We start from the raw sequence: 24,431 nt of genomic DNA on the forward strand, positions 1-24,431 counted from the left end.
ATATATTGGGTTCAGGGTCAATATGCATCACAAACTGCTAACAGGATTTCTTTCTTCATTTAAAAGTTCACCTAGCTAGCAAGAAGCAAGGGTTGATTTTTGTTGTTCGTGGTCTTTTTTGATTCTTGCCAGTTCCCAAGATCTATGATTATGATTCAGTGATACTATGACTTACACGGTTGACTTGGGAAGCAGAAAAATCTAGTAATTTGGCAGCAGCAAAGGCCCTATTATAAAATTGAATGAAGCTGATATCAAATGTCTTCACAGTTTACTTTTTTTAATCTTAAGCTTATTTGGTTGATAGTGGTTTTTTTTTTGAGTATAAAGATATGGATTCTCCTTTTTATGTTTTTGGAGGCAAGACTCACTGCATCACCCAGGCTGGAGTACAATGGCACAATCACAGTTTACGGCTCACTGCAGCCTTGACCTCCTAGGCTCAGGTGATCCTCCCACCTCAGCCTTTCAGGTAGCTAAGGCAGGCATGCACCACCACACTCAGCTAACTTTTTGTGTTTTTTGCAGAGATATGGTTTTGCTTTGTTGCCCAGGATGGTCTCGAACTCCTGGGCTCAAGCAGTCCTCCCGCCTTGGCCTCCCAAAGTGCTGAGATTACAAGTGTGAGCCACTGCATCTGGCCTTACACTGCATTTCTTTTTCTTTTTTTTCTTTTTTTTTTTTTTTTTTTTTTTGAGACGGAGTCTCACTCTGTTGCCCAGCCTGGAGTTCAGTGGCACAATCTCGGCTCACTGCAACCTCTACTTTCCGGGTTCAAGCAATTCTCCTAACTCAGCCTCCCGAGTAGCTGGGACTACAGGCACACACCACACCCGGGAAATTTTTGTATTTTTAGTAGGAACGGAGTTTCACCATGTTGGCCAGGCTGGTCTCAAACTCCTGACCTCCTCAGCCTCCCAAAGTGCTGGGATTACAGGCATGAGCCATCGTGCCCGGCCTACACTGCATTTTAACTGGGTCTACATAAGTGAGAGTCAGCTCCTGGACTCTGGGTCATAATCTTTGGGCAACTTCCTGTTCTCTCTGAAACTCCATTTCCTCATCTAAAGAAACAGACCATGTGCCCAACCTCCTACCAAGGGTCTGTTGCAGGATTTTACATCTGACCATGCCTCATAAATCATGCAGCCTGACCCAGGTTGTCAGAGTACATATTTCTCTTTTGTTGATTCTCTGTGGTATCTTATGAAGCTTATGCTTTAAGAAAAAAATTTTGTAAACGTTTAAATATTAAGACATAAATGAGAACTTAATCTGCAGAACTTGGTCAAGAATCTCAGTAAAGTTGTATCATAACTTTGTGAGTTTGCCTGATGAAAGCGACTCTCCCTGGAGTAGCCACGTGACTTCACAGACCAGATTGACATTCTCTGCTGAGTTCAGAAGGAGTGGAGGGGAGCACAAGTGCTGGAGGAGGGTGTGGCAGGGAGGCCTATTCCCTAACGTGTTAGGCTGGCTCCCCTCACCGGGAGCTCGGGACCCATGGAGAGATTTCGAAACCGTTGTCCCCACTCCCTCTTTGTGCCACATTCACTGGCACCCTCCATTCTGGTTTCCCTAGTAACATCACTGCTGGGACTCTCTTCCCCTTCCCCTTCTCAAGGTCTCAGGGAAATGGTTAACCTTTCATGTAAATATTCTTACTCTCCTCTCTCCACCAAGCACAAGAAGGAAGAGTACAGTCTGTCTCGAGAGACAGTCAGCCAGGCTTCCTGTACAAAACAGAGATGGGACCCATCTCACGCTCCAGGCATGGACAGCCTGGTTGCCTTGAAACAAACAGCTCAAGAAGAAAAGCACCCAGTAACTGCACACAGATACTTCCACTTAGCATCTACTGTCTTTTACATTTTTCTTGCAGGAAGATCCACGTTTGAAATTTCCAGTACATATGCGGTCAAAGACATCTTTAAACCCCAATGACCTTGGCCCCCTTCCTGTGAGTACACTGGAGACACATGGAATGGTCTGAATATGTGTGTTCCTTTATCCGCTCAATGTTGATGGAGAGGCCCTGTGGACCTTCTCTATCTCCAGGCTTTGTGGATCTCATTGGTTTGTGTTTCTTAACAGAATTGGGTGTTTAGCTGAATTGTAGTCATACATTATAGTTCATGTGATATCCAGTACTTATGAAAGAGGTTTCTGAATTGCTAGCTTCTAGCAGAAGATAGACCTTGTACACAGGATGTTCAAGAGACGTTCTCTGCAGGTGACAATTTAAGTGGCACTCATTCATTTTGTAACTTAGCAACCACTGAGTTTCAGTCATATTGCTGATTAAGTCATCAGAACAAAAATAATGAAAATAGTATGGGAGAAGAAGGCCTAATTAATCATAGAAAGTTTCTATAAGTCATTTAACCTGCAGATTTTTAAAGTTTTTTTCTCCCTTGTTGGTGACGGCTCAGTAGGAGTTGAGCTATATACTTAAAATTGGATTTTGAATGAAACCTTCACATACATCCTCCTCAACAACTCACTCTCAGTTTGAAAAAGCCGTAGGGGGTGACAGGGCAGTGGTTGGACTCCAAGGCTATTTTTAAATGGGAATTTTTGTTGTTGTTTTCCAAGTGTAAGAACCTTTTTGTTGCCTGGTATATTAGGGCAACATTGGAGGCTGCGAAGGTTAAGGTTCAATCATTATTCATTAGGTTATACAGGTATCCCACACCAAATCTGTTTGGTTCCTGGGTTCAAATAGAAAGAACCAGAGAGTTAGTTTAGAAAACAAAAGAAAGCATTTTTTTCTGAATCTGTTGGATTCCTGAGGTTCAGATAGCAAATATGGATAGTTCAGATAATGAGGGCATACCAGCTTTATCTTGAAAAAATTCTCCAAATCTGTTTAGTTCCTGAGCTTGACTAGCAAAAGTTCATGGTGGATAATACCAATATTAGATCATCAACTGCCTGGACAACACAAATACAGTTAACCATGTCTAACATTTTTATATTAACCCCCTCTTCCTTTCCTTTAGTACTCAGTATTTATTTAATTAAATGGTACTCAACTTCAAACTCCACTGTTCCATGGAATGCTGCGGTTTCCCTTTGAAGCTTTTGAGCTAGCAGCCCATTTCCGGTTCTTCATACAGTCAGCGCATCTGAGACCTGAGCATGTGATAAAGCGTGTTGCTAGACATGGTCAAGAGTTAACTTGAAATGTTCATATTTAGTTCACGCTCAATGCATAAATGTACCCTAGCAGAAAAGAGTACAGAGGTGTTCTATAGTTTTTAAATGTTGCCTTTGATTTCAGAACTCCTAGCTAATGTTTATATTTTCTCTCTCCCTTCCTTCCCCGGATACTAGCCTGGCTGGGAAGAAAGAATTCACTTGGATGGCCGAACGTTTTATATTGATCATAGTAAGTAGGCGCTGTTATGGACACACAGGTGTTGTGGGTTAGAGGGAAGGAGTAATTCAAACATCATAGTGAAAGCTTTGTCATTTTACTCTTTATCTAGGCAGCCAGGTGTTATGTGGAGAAAATGATACCAGAGAATCAGTGCCTTCATACGGTACTGTGCATTCACCCCAAGTTTGCTTAAAGTAGCCCATCAAACTTTCACCCAATCTGATCTTGTGACCTATTAACGTGTTTTTTTTTGTTGTTGAATTTTTAAACCACATTTTGATTGTTGATCCCTTGACTTTTGCACATTTAATAAATACACTCTGGTAATAGAAAATAAGATTAGAAATGATGATTTAGTCAAAAATCTGTGAACAGTGCTTGAAGCAGCATGTAAGTTTTTTAGACACTGCCTTCAAGGGTCCTATGGCAGGATGCCCGCTCTGACCTTATTTTCTATTCACGGCATGTTTCCTTGCACCCACAACACTAATATATATGTATTTTCTGGAAATTGTAGTATATTTGCTATAGACATTTGCTCCAGCACCTATGAAAAAATGTGTGGTTTCTCATTCCAACTAAAAGTTCAACTAATAAAAGTTTGCTTTTTAGCCAGTGGGATTTTTTTTTTCTCATTCTTTTTGGAGGTGCCATGTTCTTCATGGAATCATATTTCTATGTCCCTTAAATTTTCTGAAAAAGTATATTAAAAAGAAGCCTTCAAATAGATGTAAAGTTTCAACCATGAGTGCAATTTGGTAGTATCTTGGTCTTTGCTTTCATTTGGTTCATGAACAGAAAGTTAGGGTTTCCCTGGCTTCACAATTTCATAACTAAACAAAAGCACGTTGATGAGCCACCTGCTGAGAAGTCTGGCCACAAGTAATCCTCACACGTATAGGACTGGTCACTATCTCATAGGCATAGTACGTTTTTCAGATGTTACTAGGAGGCAGAGACATTGTGAACAGAATTTCACTTTCAGGCCCTGGGGGTTGAGGGCTTATTATAAATGGAATTAAGCAAAAGTACCAGCAGTTTACAATTCAACTGAAAGTAGAAGTCCTAGGTGTATTTAGAAGAGTGAGCTACCCTTTGTTTAAACCAGATATTTCAAGGTGCAGAGACTTAGTTTTTGTCTTTTATCAAAAAATGGGCAGATTTGTCAACTGTCCAGAATTTCATAGTAAGCATAAAGTATTTTTCCTGCTTTCATGTATGTGTATGCCCTACTTTTTTCCTTAATATACTATTTATTTATTGTTTTAAGAGAATTTACTAAAATGAGAGAGAGGCCACACCTCTTTTTCCCATGAAAAACAAAATAATAGTTTCCGGCTTGGTGCAGTGGCTCACACCTGTAATCCCAGCACTTTGGGAGGCCGAGGTGGGAGGATCAGTTGAGGTCAGGAGTTCGAGATTAGCCTGGCCAACGTGATGAAACCCCGTCTCTACTAAAAATACAAGTAAAAACTAGCTGGGTGTGGTGGCGTGCACCTGCAATCCCAGCTACCCGGATGGCTGAGGCAGGAGAATCTCTTGAACCTGGGAGGTGGAGGTTGCGGTGAGACAAGATCATACCACTGCACTCCAGCCTGGGCAACAGAGGGAGGCTGTCTCAAAAAAAAAGAAAAAAGTTTCCTTTATAGTATTTTTTATACATCACAATCACAGTTTTAAGACAGGTGTGAATAATACTGATCATTTTACTAAAACAGGTCTTTACTGGTAACACATCCTGGTCTGTGACGCATGGAGAGCATTGCACACAATATTGTGACAGTTTTCTGGCTGGAGATGTGATGCTTAGGTCCCCCTAAAAAGAATGTTGTGAATGTGTTTCGTATACCGCAAGGAGCCAAAAACAGAAAAACACAATTACAAAGGGCTGTCGTAGCATGCGTTAAAATAGTGAAAATCACTGACTATTTCACTTGTGGTGTCATAGACCTAGTATGATACATAGCAGATGCTTGATACTTGGTGACTTGAAATCAGGTTCATGGAGGATCAGTGGTGAAGCTCTTAGGAAGTTGTTGTGCTTGATCAGAAAGTGAAGTGAACTCACTTGAGGAGCAGTAGGTGCCCCCACTCCGGCTTTCCACCCCCACCGGCCTGAGGCTAGCGCAACTCCGGCTTACTGGAAGGTGGAAGAAGGTAACTACCTGCTAGATGCCTGGGCTTTTCCTTACTCCTGATCAGTTCTGCAGTTACTCCAGCACTCTGCCCAAACATTTCCTCATTTCACTTGACTAGAGCAGCACCCCCGAGGCTCCATTATACTCTGTACAGAGCTTGATGCAACTAAGCTGTGCCAATATATTTGTGGCCATTGACTTGGAGATTAAAATTTATTTTGCCCTTGCACAACCATATTGAAAGATTCTGTTAAAGAGATATAGCATAAATTAAGTGACCAAAAACCATTTAAGAAAAGGATTTGTTTACGAGTGCCTCCTTAGCTGTTCATGCTACGTTTCTACCATCGCTCCATAATTCATCAAGGTTTACTCAATGGAAAGCTGTAGAGCAGTACACGTCAGTGAAACAGTTCAAGTCATTTGCCTTTCCACAAAATTCAGTCTGTGAAAACTGCAGAATACCTATCTTTTGAAGAGGCTTTATCAGGCTGACACATACATTCCAAATGGGTTGAATTACCTGGAAGATAACATTTAGGAATGTCCTTTCTGTCAGAAGAAAGCCTCTTTTTCTAAACAATCTTATAGCAAAACTCAGCATCTGATTTTGCTGTCATAATGCCTACAGGACAGGAACCAGGTTATGCCCACGTATGCCACAATGCCGTGAGTGCCGTCATCTTGTAAATTGCTTAGAGTCATCTTGTCTTCCAGCATACCTGGCACGTGGGTCCACCTGGAATTACAGATGAGATGATGAGATGCACTTGTCTTTTCAATAATTAATTATTTCTGCTTTGTAAGTTTTTCCTGAGAAGTTAGACATTTTCAAGATGAACAATACTCAGCCATCATAAAGATTTAATTTCAAGAGCAACGAATGATCGAGACTAACCTCTTTAGACTCCTCGATTCCTTTGTTTGCTGTCTATGGAATGGCTCCTGGCTCTTGGGCCTCAGGTGGGAGGTTAAAGGAAGGTCTTAAACTGAATCTCTACATCTTGTAGGAATGATGTCATTCTTCTTAAAGACCAGACAGGCCCAGCAGCTGAGTAATTGGCCACAGGTATCCTATCTACAACATTAGAAGAGAAAATTGAATTCCAGTGATTTTGTAAAGTCCTATTTTAGTCTTTCCTGTCAACAGTCTTACTAGACCTGTTCATCGTGACTAAACTGAGTTTCTCATCCTTCCACTTCCTTCTTGTCCTTTTATTGGAAATATATCTCAAAGAGGAAAAGCAAGTTTAAAAGCCAAAGTTCTTTAAAAAAAAAAAAAAAGGATAACTGGCTACCCCATACTTTCATACATTGACCATACTTCACTGAAGAATTCTTTATCATAACCATGTAGAAACTTGTGTTGTTCCAAAAGCTTAGGCTCTTTTTAAAGGGACTTTGTTTTCACCATCAGCTTCATTCAGTCATTAAAAAAATAATGCACTAAGTTCCTGTTACCTGCTGGGACTGGTCTTAAGTGGTAGAGAGGGGATTGCAAAGATGAATAACACACAGTCCCTGTCCTTGGGGAGGTTAGGTCCAGTGGGAAGTAGCAGGGGATATTTCAGGTGTTAGAGGAGTGAATCAGTTGTTACACAGAAACAGAAGAGGCAAGGACTGCATCTGCTTGGGAGGTGGTTGGGCACAGGGATGGGGCCCTGAGAGAATGGGTCACTTTTTAGATGGATGACAAACACTGAGTAGGATTGAGGCAGTCAAAGCCCCAGGAAGAGTGATCCTAGGATGCGTGGAGGTGTGTGAATATGTGCAGATGCTGCCACGTTCCGAGAAACGCAGCATTGCTCCAAACAGCTAGTGTGCCGCAGGGGCGCACAGGCCAAGCCAAAGGGTATCTGCCCGGTGTGGGGACTCGGGCTCAAGCCACAGGCAGTGGGGAGCTCCCAGGGGATTTCCCAGAGGGGAGGGATGGGGTCGAAATCGTTATTTAGAGAGATCCTTTTGGCAGAGCTGTAGAAGATGTCTTGAACTGGGGTTGGGGGGTGAGACAATTCCCAGTGACGCCCAGAGAACAGTTCAGGGAAAAAAAATGAGCCCTCTAGCAAGAAGCTTATCAGGAATAGAGAGGGTTGGTCCGGGACCACCAGAGTGAGTGACACGGCCAGGTTCCTGATTGGGACAGTGAGTGGATTGTGATACTGCACATTGGAATGTAAGGTCACGTTACCAATTTTGGTGTTGGGTGATCAGAGGTTTGGTTTTGGTAGAGTTAAGCTGAAGTACTTACGGGAAACCCAGATGCAGATGTCCAGGATGGAGCTTGAAGTTCAGGTCTGGTCTGAGGACTTGCGAATCCCAATGAGTCAGGAGTTATTCATTTATTTTCTGCTTTGATGACAATATCCATTGATACGGTTATAATCCAAGTTGGTGTTTTAAGGCGCAATTTTTACTCAGCTGTACTCCGTTTCCTTTATTTGGTTTTCTTTTCTCTTGTTTTCCATCACAATAGCAACTTTTACTTTCCAAAGTCTTCTGTGAAAGGTAAGGGACCCAAAAATGCCTTTTGCTTCCATCAAGATTCTCTCAAACAGTTGAGATTTTTCATGTAAATTTTCTGCCAGCATGAAAACAAAAGATTCTAGAATCATCACTTGCTTTGGTAGCTTTTTTTTTTTTTTTTAGCTTTTCCTCTGCTTCTATTAAAATAATAATAAGACTTTTTAAAATTCCTAATATGGTCATTAAAACAGAATTCACTAATTATTCTTATCAGCTCACTTACAGTGTATACAGAAAATAAACAGAATCAATATTCTTCCCCTGCACTCCCCCGCCCCGGTCCCCAAGACAGGTGCAGATCGGGCTGGAGCATAGTGGCACAGTCATAGCTCACTGCAGCCTTCCCCTGGGCTCAAGCGATCTTCCCACCTCAGCCTCCCAAGTAGCTAGGACTACAGGCGTACACCACCACACCTGGCTAATTTTTTTTTTTAACCTTTTGTAGAGATGGGTCCTCACTATGTTTCCCAGGTTGGGCCCGAACTCCTGGCTTCAAGTGATCCTCCTGCCTCAGCCCCCCAAAGTATTGGGATTACAGGCATGAGCCACTGCTCCTGGCCACCCTTTACTTTTCAAATAATTTTCTTCTTCTTTTTTTTTTTTTTTGTTTTTTACTAACCTAGATATCCAAAAACTCTGGAGAACCTACTCTCCCTAGTGTGCCCCACCCCCCGTACCTTTCATGTGAGTCCATTGCACTCTCTCTCCCTCCACTCCACCCTAGTACACACACAGGAATCCGTAAGGTCTTTTTAATTATGCACAGTTACAAACACCAAGTGATCTAAGGCAGCTGTTGTGTATTATCACCTACACAAGTAATGGTATAGATAGCATTGAACAGTCTTGTGCACATTAACTCACTTGGAAGAAAGCAAACCACCTTTTGCCAGTGTGACCAAACAGAAACCATGCTCTGTAATCTTCCTCTGCTGTATCTAATTCTCTTTTTTGGACTGCCTAAGCTGCTTTGATTTTTGTGTGCATATGAGTGACGCATGTAATAGATTATTCATTTGTTCAATGCAGGATTCTTAATTGAAAGCAGTTTTTCAACACCATAAGTAAAGAGAAAAGTATTTGAAATGAGAAAAAAAATCGTGTGTGTGTTTGTTAGCCTTTTGGGAAACTAAGACTTTTTAAATGCTTTTTTTCAACTAAATGAAAATCAAGATCAAGTTATAAATCCTTAAAAGAACAGGGGTTTATAATTCCCATTTTAGCAAGTTATTTGCCCAAAACAGTATGAATAGATGGTTTATCTTTAGTTGTGCATTTTTGATTGAGTGTTTTTAACTAAACAGTATGTGAGGGGGGTTGCCATATAGACTGTAGTTACCTGCTAACTCTGAAATACTAATTTGTCTTTAGAACACAGGGTGGGGGACTGGACAGCTTTTGAAGAATCCAGAAATACTTCCTTCCAAAACTTTCTTTACATAGAATAGATTTGAACTAATGTTCTGATTTTTTTTTTTTTTTTTTAACATTTTCAGATAGCAAAATTACTCAGTGGGAAGACCCAAGACTGCAGAACCCAGCTATTACTGGTCCGGTCAGTATTTTCAAATTCTGCCTCTTCAGTATAAGATTTTGGTTACGTGTTTACGTGTTTCTTGTGTATTACTGATAACGGTGATGTCAAGGGACAACGGTGATTGAGTAGTTGACTAGAAACAGAGCACTTTGCTGCCATCTCCTTACTGAAGTTTCCAGGTGAGGTACAGCTGCATGTGCCTTTTCAGATGGATTTCATTATAAAGGAAAACAGCTTGATAACGACAGCAGAATTAAACATTTTTCTTCTCCTTTATAAAAGGGTGGACTATAAGTATAGTCAAAATTCCCTCCCTTCCTTTTTATATGAAGCAAAACCAAGCCCTATCTTCATAAAGTGTTATCATTTCTTTAGGCCAGGAGTAGTAAATGTATGCCAAAAGTTTAAATCTTTTACAACTTTCAAAAATCTGTAGAAGTTTGGGTGAGATTATAGCTAAGTTCAGGAGCTGGCAGAGTTAAGAGTTTGGAACTCTGCCGACCCACAGTGTTCTCATGGTCCCCTCATATATGCCGGGTGGAAAAAGAATCAATTCTGATGCAGGCGTGATGACCTCTTAAAACACCGTAGCACACTGTGTTCATAAGGCAGTGTGAGAACCCCACTCCCTGAAGCATCAGGAGACATTTGGTATCTCACACTTGTTAACAAGTCTGTAGAATGGGACCACACTCATCAGCAGAGAGCACACCACCAGCTTTTGTCAGTGGCTATACGAGTGCAGGGAGGTAATTTGGAATTACAGGAGTTGTACTGCGATCAGCAGAAGATTGCAAATTTGGGATTCTTAGACCAGAGGAGCAAAAGGAACTGAAGTTTGTTATATCACATGCTGAGCTAAGAGGCCAGTAGGTAGATTTAAAATTCCAATTTCATGGCTTTAATCTGATTCCATTCAAATTATGTTTTGAATTAGTAAGATACATCCATTTGAAAACTTAAAAGATACTACATTGCAAATGTGCCCCGGTAACTGACTCCTGTTAGTTACTTGTTGGATTTGTTTAGTCATTTGGGTACTATTTCCTAGGCAAAGTGCCCAGTAGTACCTGGGTAAAAACAGTCAACTTTTTTCTCTATGCGGCTTAAACACTGCCTTACTCTGATGCTTCCTTTTGATATATATATATTCGCAGTCACAGTTGTTTATTGGAATATTATTTTCTCTTCTACATCATTAGAACAAGGTAAATTCAAGAAACTATTCTTTTTAAGTGACAGAAGACTTTTGACATAACTTTGAAGCCTTTTCAAAATATTTTTATCACTTATCAATTACCGGCCGTCACTCAAACACTGCTAGTCCTTATTAAATCTTACTGAAAATTGCTCAGCATCATAAAGCCAAGTAGATTTGCCCCCAAGAAAGAGCTCTCTGCTTTCTGTTAATAAAAGACCCTTGTTTATTCCTTCATTTTTATTATTATTATTCATTATATTGCTTTCAATAGAGGAGAATCTGTATTTAGGTAGTTATCAACTTAGTGTAGACATTTGGCCTTTGTTGTCATTCAGTTCTAAATATTTGGCAATTTTCATTTGATTTTTCTTCTTGACTTATACATTATTTAAAATATGCTTTTTAGTTTCTAAGAGTATGGGAGGGTTGTGCCTATTCATTTTTTTTTATTGATTTCTAATTTTATTGCATTATGGTCAGATAATATTGTCTAGAGAATATTTATTATTGGATGTTTATTTAAAACTTCATTGGAAGCTTGATCACTTTTTGTAAATGTTCTTTTTCTTTTTAAAAAGAATGTGTATTGTGTCTTTGGTTGAATATAGAGTTCTTTTTGTGTCCATTAGGTCAAGCCTGTGGTGTTCAAATTATCTACATTCTCATTGCTATTTTGCTATTGGATCTAATCAAGATAGTTCTGTCAGTCTCTGTGGTGACTGTTGCCCTGTCGATGTTGTCTGAGGTGTATATAACTACATTCTCTTTCTCTGTTCGTATTTGCTGTTTAGCATATCTTTTCTCTCTCGCGATATTTTATCTTCTTTCTTGCCTTTTGTTCAATTGATAGAGTACTCTCTATTTTATTTTCTCTATGTGCTTGCAGGCTGTACTTTCTATTTGTATTCTTATAGCTCTCACATTAAACTGTGTAACCCACATACTTGACTTAGGGTTAAAATGAATCACTGTCTACTCTCCTTAACATCAGGACCTCAGGGAACTTGAATGCCATTCTTCCCACTCCCATTTGCCACGTCATTGTTGGGTGGAATTTTAAAACTACCTTGCTTTAAACTTTCCTAATAGTCAAATAGTCATTAATATGTTTTATCTTTTTTCTCCCTACTGTCCATACTGATTTAATTTTACCAAATGTAGACAAATTTCTTTGCCCACCATTGGTTTGCCCACCATTGGTTCTTCCATCCATTTTTTTTCTGGGGTGAGTTTTGATCTTAGTGAAGCCTAGTCCAGTTTATGGTTCTTACTGTGTGGTCTGCTGACCAGAGTATCAGTATCGCCTGAGAGCTTGTTGGAAATGCAAGTTTTCAGGTCCTACCCCAGACCTACTGAATCAGCACCTCTGGGGGTGGGACACCAGTCTTTGTTTTAACTGCTCTCCCAGGGATTCCAGTGCCCCCTCAGGTTTGAGCACTTCTGCCCAGCAGCACTGCCAGTGACAGTCTGAGAGTGGTAATATCTCTTAGTCTTTGACTCAAAAGGTCTCATTTGACCTCTCTGAAGTTCAGCTGATGATAGAAATCTTGGTTAAATTATTTTCCCTCAGTGCTTTGGAGATTCTCCTGCATGTCTTCTGGCCTCCATAAATGATGATAACAGGTTTGCTGTCAATCTCATTGTCGTTTCTGTGTAGGTAAATGGCTCTGTTCTCTAGTGATTTTGAATTTTTATTTGTGTCTTAGATGTTTTACAATTTCGCTATCATCATGTACCTATGTGTGGAGTTCTCTTCATTTATCTTGCTTTGGACTCAGGCTTCTTCAGTATGGGGATTGTGTCTTTCCTCTGTTCTGGAAAATTCTCAGCTATTATTTCTTAACATACTGCATTTTTCCGATTCTCTCTAAGTATCTGTTTCTGTAACTCCTATTGGACATTTACTTCTCTTTCACATTGTCTGCTTTATCTCTTAACTTTTGTGTTTTCTGTCTCTCACTGCTGTATTGTGAGTTATTACTTAGCTCTTCCAGTTAATTCTTTAAGCTTTTTTTGTAATCTCTTTATCAGTTCATTGTGTTTATTATTTCAGTGACTAAATTTAATTGCTCAAAGTTTTATTTGGTCGTTTAAAATTTGCTTTTGTCTTCATAGTTATTTTGTCCTGTTCTCTTTATCTCTTTATTTATTTTTGATGCTTTCATCTGCTTATTATTTTTAAGATATTTATTTCTTAGCCTCTTTGAGATTATTCTATTATCTCTGGTCCTAGGATCATTAAATCTCCCACTACGTCTGTAGACTCTCCTTAAGAGTGTAGATTATTGCCTAGTTCAGTTTATAATTTGTGTGTGTGTGTGTGTGTGTGTGTGTGTGTACATGCATGCAAGAGGGAGAGAGAGAGCATGAGCAAGCTCATTTTTTTTTCCTATGAGGCTTTTGTAAGTCCTGACCTGTATTTACTGTTAACTTCTTAGCTTGGGTTCATGCACCCCCAGTCAGTATAACTGTGGACCTCATACCCACTTTGGCACAGGCTTGGAGTATGGATTTATTACAGGTCTGTTTCTTTTTGTTTTTCTCCCATTTATGGTCCTGGACAGAAGGTAAGCTTCCTTGCAACTTCCCTGGTCCGGTGGGTAGAGTTTTCTTGTCCCCTTTCCAGATGTTAGGTTTTAAACAATGACTGTTCTTTCTCCATCATGTAGACCAAAGGCCAAGTTCTGTGTCCCCATGGGAGATTAAAACCCAAGCCCCTATGTCTAGGTCCAGTGCCCACTGATTTCTCTAATTGTGAGTCTTTCTGCTTACCTAGTACCTAGAGTTTCTCTTCCCAAGTTTTAAAAATATCAGTTCTAAGTAGGCCTAGCGTTTCTACATATTTTTAGGGAGAGGGGACCCTTTCTGTGGCAGCTCAGTGTTCAGCATTCCTGTAAGTTAGCATGCTCTGTGTATAGCAGATATCACTAGTAATAGCATTTAGTAAGTGATGTTCACACATGCTGCTGTCATGAACACTATCTCATGTTGTGTAACACTTTCATTTTTCCAAGAACTTTATAATCAGCCGACTTGAAACTCACAGTCGTCCCCTCAGAAAGGCAGGGCAAATGTTGTTATTTCCAATTTGTCAGAAGCTCAGAAAGCTTATTCTGTTGCTGACAGTCCTTGCAAGGGTCAGAATCAGGACCGGAGCCCCAGATGCGCTGGTGTCACTGATGTCCCCGTGCCGGGCATGAGCCCTTCTGTGCAAGGAGCTCCAATGTCTCCCGGCCAGTGATGATGTGAAAACATTTAGAACCGACCTACACAATAAGGCAGATTTTCATTCTGTACCCAAAACAGGAACACAGATTTAATGCAGAGCAAAAGGGCTTTAATCAACAGATATGTTCATTTTTCACGTAGACCTATTTTACAAGCTAACTTGTAAGCCAGAAAATGACATTCGAGATTTTCAAGTGAGAACAAATGATTTGGTCCAATAATTAAAAAAAAAAAAATGTACGTGTAATCTCTTCAGAAGCTGCACTGGAAGGATGTTTGTCCTGGTACGTTGTTGGAAAGTTTTCAGGAAGAGAATGTAAAAACTTGCTCTTCTTATTCTATCATGAGAACTACCTCTGGAGAGAAAAGATAATGAATGCAAGAGGAAGACAGTGATTTTTCAGCTTTCACGCATCATTCCCCAGAAGGAGAAAGGCTTGAAATATCTCAACATTTCCGCCCACACCTCCTCAGCCCCTGCCAGGAGACAGAGCAGGCAAGGGAACGGGCATCATAGGCTGGGGGCCACATGTTGAAATCTGCTCCTTGGGGAATTTGTCATTTAAGACAGTCGAACTTGCATACACAGTGATGACTGTTTAAGCTTTTTTTCCAACATTTTCAGGAGTAGGGGGAACTGTGATGTAACAGTGATGTTTGGAGAACCCTCACGAATACAGGAACAAACAAAAAATAGTTGCTGGGAATCACAGACTTTCAGAAATAGAAGAGCTGAGTCACGTTTGTTCATCCAGTCAAATTCTTCCACTTAACAGTGAAGAAACTCCTTAGTAGAGAGGATGTGATGCAGAGCCAGCTGATGAGAGTCTACCCGAGAGTGCAGGCCTTCTAACGCTGGCAGGAGAGAGTGGAAGGAAGTCACTTTTTTAGTTCCTATGGGGTCATTTTTTTCCTCATGGCACTACCACGGTTTATTCATTGATTTCCTATTGCCTGTTGCTCTCAACAGCTTGTGAGCTCCAGGAGGGAACTGGGAAAGCTACCTTTGGTTTATGTACTGTTATTTTTCTGGCACCTAAAATGCCTTGCACAGAGTAGGTGCTCAAGAAGTATCGGTTGAATGGACGAGAATGAACACCAGAAAGTGAGAAATAAACTAGAGAGGAAATCTTAGTTTGTGACGGGATGTACTGTTGGTAGAGCAGAAAACATGATCTCTTTATTGGCTTATGTCAGAACATTGTATTCTTTTTCTTATTTTGGTGGTTGTCCAGGTATTAACAAATTTATACCTTGCCTAGACTCAGAATTGCTATGTGGTTTCATCAGACTAAACACTGCCTAAAATAAATAGGATGTGAGGTCAAATCTGTTGTTCAGTGGAAAATCAAAGAAGACTGGCTTAAAAACTAAGAAAAGACCATAGGCAGTGTAAATTGTCTATAGATTGCTCCTAAGCTATATAAAGATGATGTATTTTTTGCTCTGGAATTACAGAGCAAAACACTGACGTGCTCATTTTCTGGAAGAGTGGTTGTTTGTTTTGTTTCGGGTTTTTTATATAAACATGTCTTAAAACTATAAAAGAGGGAAGTTCATGTTCTTCATTTCTTCTGTTTCTGGTCAAGATAAGTATGGTGAAAGTGTAAGGTTTGGAGTCTGGAGATACTAGACTAAGGATCAGTATATTTTATTAACTTAGGCCGAAATGATAACAGCAGAAGTATTCTCTGCTGAAATTCATACTAGTGGCTAAAAAGCAATGAGTTGTTTTCGAGGCTGTCATAGTTAATGTCTGTGTATATGCAAAACCCAATCCTTTTTGCTCATAAAAATATCGTAAGCTTTTTCAGTAGCCAAAACTCACGGCCCTGACTCTAAGATATTGTAAGCTACTTTACAAGGTAGCAAATAAAGATTATTTAAATGACTACATTAACATGTTACTCCTTTGCCTGAAGAGATATCACAACTTTTGAATGACTATAGTTAACTCAATTCCTGAGCCCTCAACTGGGGTACTATCACTCTATTTCATAGATAAAGCATTTGAGATTTAAAGAAATCCTTGCCCAAGACCACTAAATATTAAGGGACAAACCTTCTGACTTCTAAATTGAGGATTTTTTGAGAATGCCATCTGCCTGATTTTATATTCCTTGATAGGAGTGTCAGTTCACTTCCCTTTCTGCTCGTTGTATTTCCCCACAAAAATTCGTTAAACCGTAATTAGACTTTTCAAAATGCCAACGTAGGTCATTCTGGGTTGTATGTTAGAAGTATTTAGCCAATAACTCTTACCTAAACCACAGCAAAAAAGAAAAACAGAAACACCCTGACTCATATTCTGACAAAAGTCACTTGGAAAGCATGTTTAGTTTGTGTAGCGTACCCCAAATGGTTTCTCAAATAGCAGTATAGCTGTTTTCAGGGGTGAAAGCTGCATTCAAAGCTGATTAGCCCTCATCAGTTCTAGGACTTTCCCCTGTGCTGTGTAGACATTATCTAATTTTTCCATGGATAATCTGAGAAGTGAGAATTTACGGTTTATGACTCATGAAATTCTCTTGAATGTTGCCTCAGTATACATAAAATTTCAGGTGTATTGTTTGCATTATCTATATTTATAAATTTATCTTCCAGGCTGTCCCTTACTCCAGAGAATTTAAGCAGAAATATGACTACTTCAGGAAGAAATTAAAGAAACCTGTGAGTAATCATGCCTTCCAAAAATGCTTTGTGTTAGTCATTTGTAAGTTACCACAGTCACTTCAGTGAGAACAACTTGGTTGTTACTTTTATATGAATGCTAAAAATATTACCTTCCTTTTCTCTCTGCACTTTGATCCTCCTGGTTCTAAAATCTGAATTTTCTTTTTAACAGAAATGGTAAGTGAAAATTAACTCAGTGTTACATATCAAATCACCTGAAGGGTAATTTCCTATGTAATACATAAAAAGACAGGAATGATTTTTATGGGATATAAAATAATTCAGAACCCTAGTCACAAAATCTGTGGAAGCCTATTCAATTATGCGCAGTTATCATATTTAATTAACCTGGATCCCGGTAAGAAAAATGTTCAAGTCCTTCCTTGTAAATGCAAAAGCTTAGTTTCAACTACAGTATTTATAATATAGTGTTATATTTAATTATAATAATTGGCAGTATTACGTCCAAATGTAATTTTCTACTTATAATTATCCCTGGCAGTTTAAAACCTAGAAACTCTAAAAATTTTTATGGGCAACATTTTAAATTATAACATTGCATTTTCTAATGACACACCATCCCCAAATTGTTCAACATTGCATCCTCTGTTTTACTTTCCGATTCCTCCTTAGCAGTTTTCTCTTCAATTTTCTCCATCACTATGGTTACACCTCTAGGGAGGGGAGAGAAGCGGCTGCAGCTCAGACCCCCTCTGGTGGCCTGGGCTCCATTGCCATCTCTCCCTGCCTCCTCCCCTCAGCTGGTTCCTCCTGCCCGGGAACATCTCTGGATGGGGCACAATGTCTGCTCTCATTTAGGGGTTTTGGTCTCTGTTCCAAAGTCCTGATTCAAGAGCTTGCGGGTAACTGCTATTGAAATGATTCTTTGCCTTCAAAACTCAAATGATCACTGAAAATTCCACAGTTTTCTTTGTGAGTCATGTCCCCTGGTAATGATGATGACTGTGGTCATCACCCAGTCTCACTCTATGGCTCTCACATAGCAGTGTCTGCTACCCGGAAACCATCTCTGCACATTCATTCTTACAGCCAGACCAAGCCTGGACCGCCTCTTTGCAGGAGGCAGTTGCCACAACCTTGGTCAAGTGTTTTGTTATTTTCATGTCAGCGAACCATGCTTTGGGCTGCTTTCCCCACACTTGGCATAATCAGGATCCCACTCCCCATGGCAACAAAATGGACTTGAGGCAGCGTGGATTATATCTACCACCTGGCGGCCCTGCCACAGTTGAGCATGGATAGGCCCAACCTGGCCAGGTGGGGATTATTACAGGTTTTGACTACCTGGGCTAAAGTCTCTTGAGTGAAGCAACAGATACAGTCGACTGCCTTTCGGTTGCCCTATGCTGGAGAAGTGCCCACAGTTGTTTATTAAAGGGGGCAAGGAGGATGTTCTCCTTCGCAGCAGAGTTCTAACTTTCCTGAGCATCGCTAGTGGATGCCGTGTGTCCCATCGTGACACAGCAAGGCTTTCTGTCTGCAAGGGAAAACCCCTAAAGGAGAGAATCTCAGTTGGAACCATTTGTCACTGCCTGTTTCTTTGAGGACTGCCAACTTTTCTACCATTTGCTGTTGTTTTTATTAGAAAACAAAGTGTGTATTTACTGTATGATTATGTGTTTTCTTTTGTCTTTTGTGTAGGCTGATATCCCCAATAGGTTTGAAATGAAACTTCACAGAAATAACATATTTGAAGAGTCCTATCGGAGAATTATGTCCGTGAAAAGACCAGATGTCCTAAAAGCTAGACTGTGGATTGAGTTTGAATCAGAGAAAGGTCTTGACTATGGGGGTGTGGCCAGAGAATGGTTCTTCTTACTGTCCAAAGAGATGTTCAACCCCTACTACGGCCTCTTTGAGTACTCTGCCACGTAAGTATATGGCCACACCCAGTGTGTGTCCCCCACTGAGACAGTTGTATGAATTTAAACAGAATGAAAGGATAAGCAGCTCATGAGTTCGAGATGCATTAACTCTGCTGAGTTTGTTCTCTCCTCACCCCACAGCCCCTTGCAAGTCTAGAACAGGTTCTGACTCTACGTGGTGAAATAGTGTACTCTGCGAACATCTAACATTGATTTTTTTTCTTGTCTATTGGGTTCATGGAGTTGAAATTGAAAACGTGGATAATTATGATAAGGAACAGGAGGCGATTTTCATTTGCAGTGTTCAAGAGGAGGACTTGTCAGTGTTAGAATTCAAAAACAAAGGAGGTGTTTTTTGAACAAGAGTCGTTTCTGAGGTCTCCTGTGTAAAGGCAAATTGTAAGGACTTTGAGGACCTAGGACCATGCCCTGCTCCTGTAAGGAAAGAACCAGGTTTCCCCTTGCATTAGGATTTCATCATTGCCAGGCTTGGAAACTGAGGCAGACTAAATTGCTTTCTGAGCAATTAAACATCAGCTACTTCCAGGCCAGCCATTCCTCCTTCAGACTCTGAATCCTCCAAGGGTTGGGCAGTACCCAAGCCCCCAGTAGAATAGTCATTGACCTTGCTGAAGGGCATTTGTCATCACTCCAGCCCTGGGCTCTAAGGGGACGTGGGTTCCCCCACATCTCCCACCTGGTACCAGTCTCCTGGGGGCTCATTTGGAAGGCCGCCTCAGTACATTCTTCCTGGTTGCTCTAGCCAAGAATTGCCCAATTGATTTGTTGTTACTGAGTCCCATGAGAAAGCCCACTATGTACAATGTATCCAACTATTGAAGGTGGAGGGCAGGGTGGAGAGAGACAAGATCTTTACCTCTTCTCCACATTTTCAAAGATACCCCCACCCCGGAGGAATCAGTCTGTGATCCCAGTTTGAAAACTACTGATCCACATGATTGTGAACCAAGCAAGATCATTTGGACAAATCTAAAAATTTGCAGGTTTGCATCATTGAGAGAGCCATATCCTGTTCCTAATCCCCTCGAGGCCTTTTCAGAGCAGAGTAGTGGTCAGAAGACAGACCAAGGGTTGGGCCCATAGCAAACATCTTATGGCCAAGCCAAAAGCCTCTGGAAGGAATTAAACTTCCTTCATCACAGAGACGACCTAAAGTACTCACATCTTTGGGAATCCCTGCACAGCCCCTTTATTATGTGGCGTTTCTCATCTCCCCAAGATATTTGGCTGAACCATATGAAATAGACACTTCGTAGGTCAAAAACAGTCAAACATCAGCGTCTCTTATGGTTTAATTGACTTTAGAGGGCACATGCGTCAGCCTCCATGGTGGGTCACGGTTGAGCATGTGGTAAGTCAGGTCCTCTAGCCCACACATTTTCCCACTAGGTACAGAATGCTCGCAGGGACACTGTAAAAGTTGAGTGACAGGTGGCAAACAAATATGCAAAATCTTGCATTTGAAAGTGTGATTGGGCTTTTCTTCTCTTTCTCCTCAAAAGGGACAACTACACCCTTCAGATCAACCCTAATTCAGGCCTCTGTAATGAGGATCATTTGTCCTACTTCACTTTTATTGGAAGAGTTGCTGGTCTGGCCGTATTTCATGGGAAGCTCTTAGATGGTAAGTCTTGAAGTAATAAAAATAGGTCAGTGCTGCTTGCGGTTTGCTAGTAGGTGTCTTATCTTTCGCATCATGGGTTTTTAAGCAAAAGCTTCACTGGTTTACTCATAAAGTATTTTTATGTTTTGCCCATAATGGATGTCCTTTTCTCTGGTAGCTTATTTTGGGCACTGAAGACATAGTGTCTACACACAGTTAAAAACAAAAGTTTTTTTTTAACTTCAGTGTAAAACACAGAACATTATGTATTTATACATTTGTATGTTTTCTGGAATAACTTTAGTGAAAGCAAGATTTGATAACAGATGGAAAAACTAATTGAAAAGTTAATTAAAATGATCTCATCTATCTAATATCCTGTGATTATTGCGTTTGTCCCCAAATTATTTTTTAATTTGAAGGGACTAAATAATTTCAAAATAATGTTACTGCTTAGCTAAGACATTAACCCTGAAACAAATAACACAAAATAATTTCATTCTTATTTAAAGCATATAGATCATGGAAGAATTTCAAGGTACCTTGAAAGTTAGAAGTCAAACCCTCTACCTGGCGGTATCTATAGGCTTAGAGACTTCTAAAAGATTTGGCCAATTCAAAATAGTGTCCTTAAGAAAACACTACAGAAATCATCAGTGAGAAAAAAGCATCAGAAATACTTTTTAAGAGCCTGGAGGTAGAGTGGTTGAGGATGGGAAGAGGGAGAGTAGGATTTGAGATTGACATTGCAGTAACTTATAAGAAAGATATTTCCAAGGGAACTGTGTTCATTGCATTTATAGAGCCTTAGCTATTCTAATAAATAATTTGTATACCCTCTGTACTTTTCCCATGAATATGTTTTTACTGTTAATTGGTAGCTGATATTGATGCTCTGATTTTGTTGCTTTATTTGGTAGCAGGGCGACAGTAAACACTTTTTTTCCTCTAGAAGGAAACTAAACCACACACTCTTTCCATGTATGTATAGTGTGAATATATTTTAATTTCCAGCTTTGGAGTCATGCCATAGATTGTTTCAGCCTGCTCCAATTCACTCCAACTTTCTCAGAAGGTCAGTTTAGTCACCGTATGCAAGTGAGAAGATGCTGTTAGTTGCTACAGTGTCTTTAATACCCTCTCTAACAGGGGGTAATAGAGAAGCATAAGATATGATCCTGACCTTAGTCAGCTTATATTTTAGCGGGGGGAAAAGAGATGAGAACAAAACCAGAAGAATCACAGTGATAGTGTCTGAGCAGAAGGGAGTGCATTGAGTCCTCAGAGGAGAAAGTGACTTGGCTGGAGGCTCAGGGAATCTTTCCCAGGATGAGCTGCACCTCGGAGGTGGGGTAGCATTTGAGCGTTCAAAGGCTGGGGTCATTTCAGATGAGTGAGGACCAGCCCAGAGTCAAGGCCTTGTGGAAGAAGATGGGCGGAAGCAGGAACCACTCAGGGTCTCAAGGAGCTGGCTAAAGTGACCCCGACAAGAGTGATCACGATATAAACCTGGAATTGCACATTTAAGAGTCCAAGTGCACATAGATGGGCCTAGTCAGCAGTGTCTTCAAATTTCCCACAGATGGGAATGTCCCTGTCGGCAGGGCTCATTCTGCACATCTGTCCGATGGGAATGTCCCTGTCGGCAGGGCTCATTCTGCACATCTGTCCGCTGCTCCCCCTGGTCGGCTTCATGCTTTTACTTCCCCAGACACTGGAGTCTATTGGAGCCTGCATAGGGCCACGCTGAGCCGGGGAGAATTGGCCTGTACTGCAGAGGGTGGGTGCCTGGTGGGGGGATGAAGGAGCAGAAGCAGGAGCCTGGGGTGCCAGGTCTGGTGGGGTCAGGACCCCCTGTGAGGAGGTGCGTGATGCCTTTGGATCAGGTGAAATGGAGGCACCTGCAGGACGCCTGAATGGTGGGAGGCCGACCTCGCTGCTGTTGCCTCCCTGAGGCCTCTGCCGTCCCTCCGCGGGGGGTTGCACAGGCCCTCTCCGGGGCCTTCCCCATTTCCAGCCTGTCCCCTTCCTGTGCTTTCTCCCCATCGCTGCCCAAGCAATGATAACAGAAGACAGATGGAATTTCACCTGGCCTTTCACTGACTCCCCACTGCCCTCAGAGAGCACCCCAACTCTCCAGCACCCCATGTGGGCTCTGCACTGCCGGCCCCTTCTCTGGCCTGTCTACCCGCCCTGGCAAACGGCTGGCAAGTCCCCAGCCTTGTTCCTCTGCTTAGTGTGCCCTTTTCTCCCCCAATTCCTACGCCTGATTTGCACTGCGGACTCTGCTTGACCTTGAAGCTCATCTGTCACCTCCCAGAGGCCTTTCTGGCCCCACTCTGCTGCGCCATCTCTCTTAGCACAGCTGCCCTCCTCATGCCACTCTCCCCCTGATCTCGCCTCCTCGCTTGTGCAATACTGTAGAAGGCCCTTGGTTACTCCTTCATGGTTTCTCATTTACATTGAAAGCAGGTTAATCTTTTCTTTCATGCTCTGATACATAGCAGTGTCAAAGACCTGAAACTAAACCCAGTGTTTACCGTGTTTTAGGTTTCTTCATTAGACCATTTTACAAGATGATGTTGGGAAAGCAGATAACCCTGAATGACATGGAATCTGTGGTAAGTAAATGCACGTCACACACTGGCCATCACCGGGCACTCGTGTCTTATGAGAAGGTATTGGAGAGCCATATTTGTAGTCTCAGCCACTTTTATGGGTGTTGCATTCCATGTGAACAACAGGAGACATTTAATTGCTTGAAAAGTTCATTGATCTAATTCTTGTAATAAATCATTGTTCACATTTCCTGGAACCATGGTACCTAGGGTGGATACATCCAAATCCCAGTTGCCTCTGCTTACCCGGCATAGGACTTGTGTGAACTTACTAAATCCAAGAGACAGCTGAAGATCTATGGTAGCCTGTGTTTTCTATAAAAACTGCTGCTGCTGAATGTTTAGAGCTTCATCCGCTCTCCCTCTGTTTCCTGACATCATAAAAATGGCAGAGGCAAAGGTCAAAACAATAGGAAGAGTATCAGGCAGACGTCCTAGACATGGATGAGTGACGCCACAGCTCAGGCAAGTGAACACTTGAGACGTTCTCCAAGTAGTGATTTGGGTTTTCATGTTGCATTTAACATTAATTTTACCTAGACAGACCATTTTAGAGTTGGAAGGATTTTATTTTTTTTTTATTTTTTTTATTTTTTGAGATGATGTCTTGCTCTTTCACCCAGGCTAGAGTGCAGTGGCGCGATCTTGGCTCACTTCCGCCTTGCGGATTCTAGCAATTCCCCTGCCTCAGCCTCTCAGATAGCTGGGATTACAGGCACACGCCACCATGCCTGGCTAATTTTTTTTTTTTTTTTTTTTTTTTGTATTTTAGTAGAAACGAGGTTTCGCTATGTTGGCCAGGATGGTCTCGATCTCCTGACCTCATGATCCTCTTGCCTCATCCTCCCAAAGTGCTGGGATTACAGGTGTGAGCCACCGCACCCAGCACGGATTTGCTATAAAACAAAAATTGATGTTCTTTTTATAATATACTTCTGCTTCTGTTTTTCTTTTAATGTACCTATACCCCACATCTACCTCCAGAGTGTATGGGTGTTTGCCCACACGCCAGCACACACACAGGGCCACTGGGAAGCGCGTTTGTCCATTTGGGGTATTTGCAGCTCATTCGTGTTTGCTCACTTGAGTTAAAAAGCCCCTGCATGATGTCACCTGCCTGTGATACCAACTGTATTTTGGGCACGGTTGGGTAGATGAGCTGTGTCCTCGGCCCTGACCAGCGCTGACTCAGTGTTTCTGTTGCTCCTCATTGTATGAAAGGAGAGGAAGAGGCCAGCAGTGCCCTTGAACCCACTGCTGGTTTGCCAGTCATGGTGGGTTGGGATGCACACCTGTGATTCCGGTCTCCACTTTGACCCTGTGTTTGTGCTTTCTGCTTTCATCACTGTATGATGAAGCAGCTAGGAGCACAGGAATTTCTCTTAACGTCTAACTTTATACCACATGCTGACAGTTAGTGCCTAAAGTACAGTGCGTGTATTATTTTTACCCTCTTCACAGCCCGTCGTGTCCCCAGCAGGAGAGACCGTGGAGGGACCAGGGACAGGCGCTTAGGCCTGTGACTGATCCTCTGGATTCTGAAACCAGAGCAGCCACCCTTTTTGCTGACATTAACCTGGAGAGTGATCAAAGCACAAGAAAGGGGATAACTTAAAACTAT

The 24,431-nt window shown here is 41.4% G+C and overlaps 1 protein-coding gene across 50 annotated transcripts in view, besides 1 other annotated feature; it reads left to right on the forward strand.

The window, feature by feature from the left end:
• NEDD4L (NEDD4 like E3 ubiquitin protein ligase) overlaps positions 1-24,431 on the forward strand; it is a 357,315-nt gene that overhangs the window by 303,429 nt on the left and 29,455 nt on the right. For 35 of the 50 annotated variants that reach the window (XM_047437406.1, XM_047437408.1, XM_047437421.1 and 32 more), the window contains 7 exons: positions 1,883-1,960; positions 3,337-3,391; positions 9,540-9,598; positions 16,614-16,679; positions 18,345-18,574; positions 20,092-20,213; positions 22,743-22,813. In XM_047437406.1, coding sequence (XP_047293362.1) covers positions 1,883-1,960; positions 3,337-3,391; positions 9,540-9,598; positions 16,614-16,679; positions 18,345-18,574; positions 20,092-20,213; positions 22,743-22,813 — 681 coding nt within the window. Of the gene's footprint in view, positions 1-1,882; positions 1,961-3,336; positions 3,392-3,491; positions 3,546-9,539; positions 9,599-16,613; positions 16,680-18,344; positions 18,575-20,091; positions 20,214-22,742; positions 22,814-24,431 lie in introns of all 50 variants that reach the window. The other 15 variants (XM_006722426.5, XM_047437407.1, XM_006722428.5 and 12 more) reach the window with 1 other exon arrangement.
• Positions 2,260-2,319: an enhancer, noted in NCBI's record as "active region_13387". NCBI's record gives its function as "activates an Ori minimal core promoter by ATAC-STARR-seq in GM12878 lymphoblastoid cells {active_cell/tissue: GM12878}" and the evidence as "EXISTENCE:reporter gene assay evidence [ECO:0000049][PMID:35858748]".

Source organism: Homo sapiens, chromosome 18 (genome assembly GCF_000001405.40).
Source record: "Homo sapiens chromosome 18, GRCh38.p14 Primary Assembly".
Classification (NCBI taxonomy): Eukaryota; Metazoa; Chordata; class Mammalia; order Primates; family Hominidae; genus Homo; species Homo sapiens.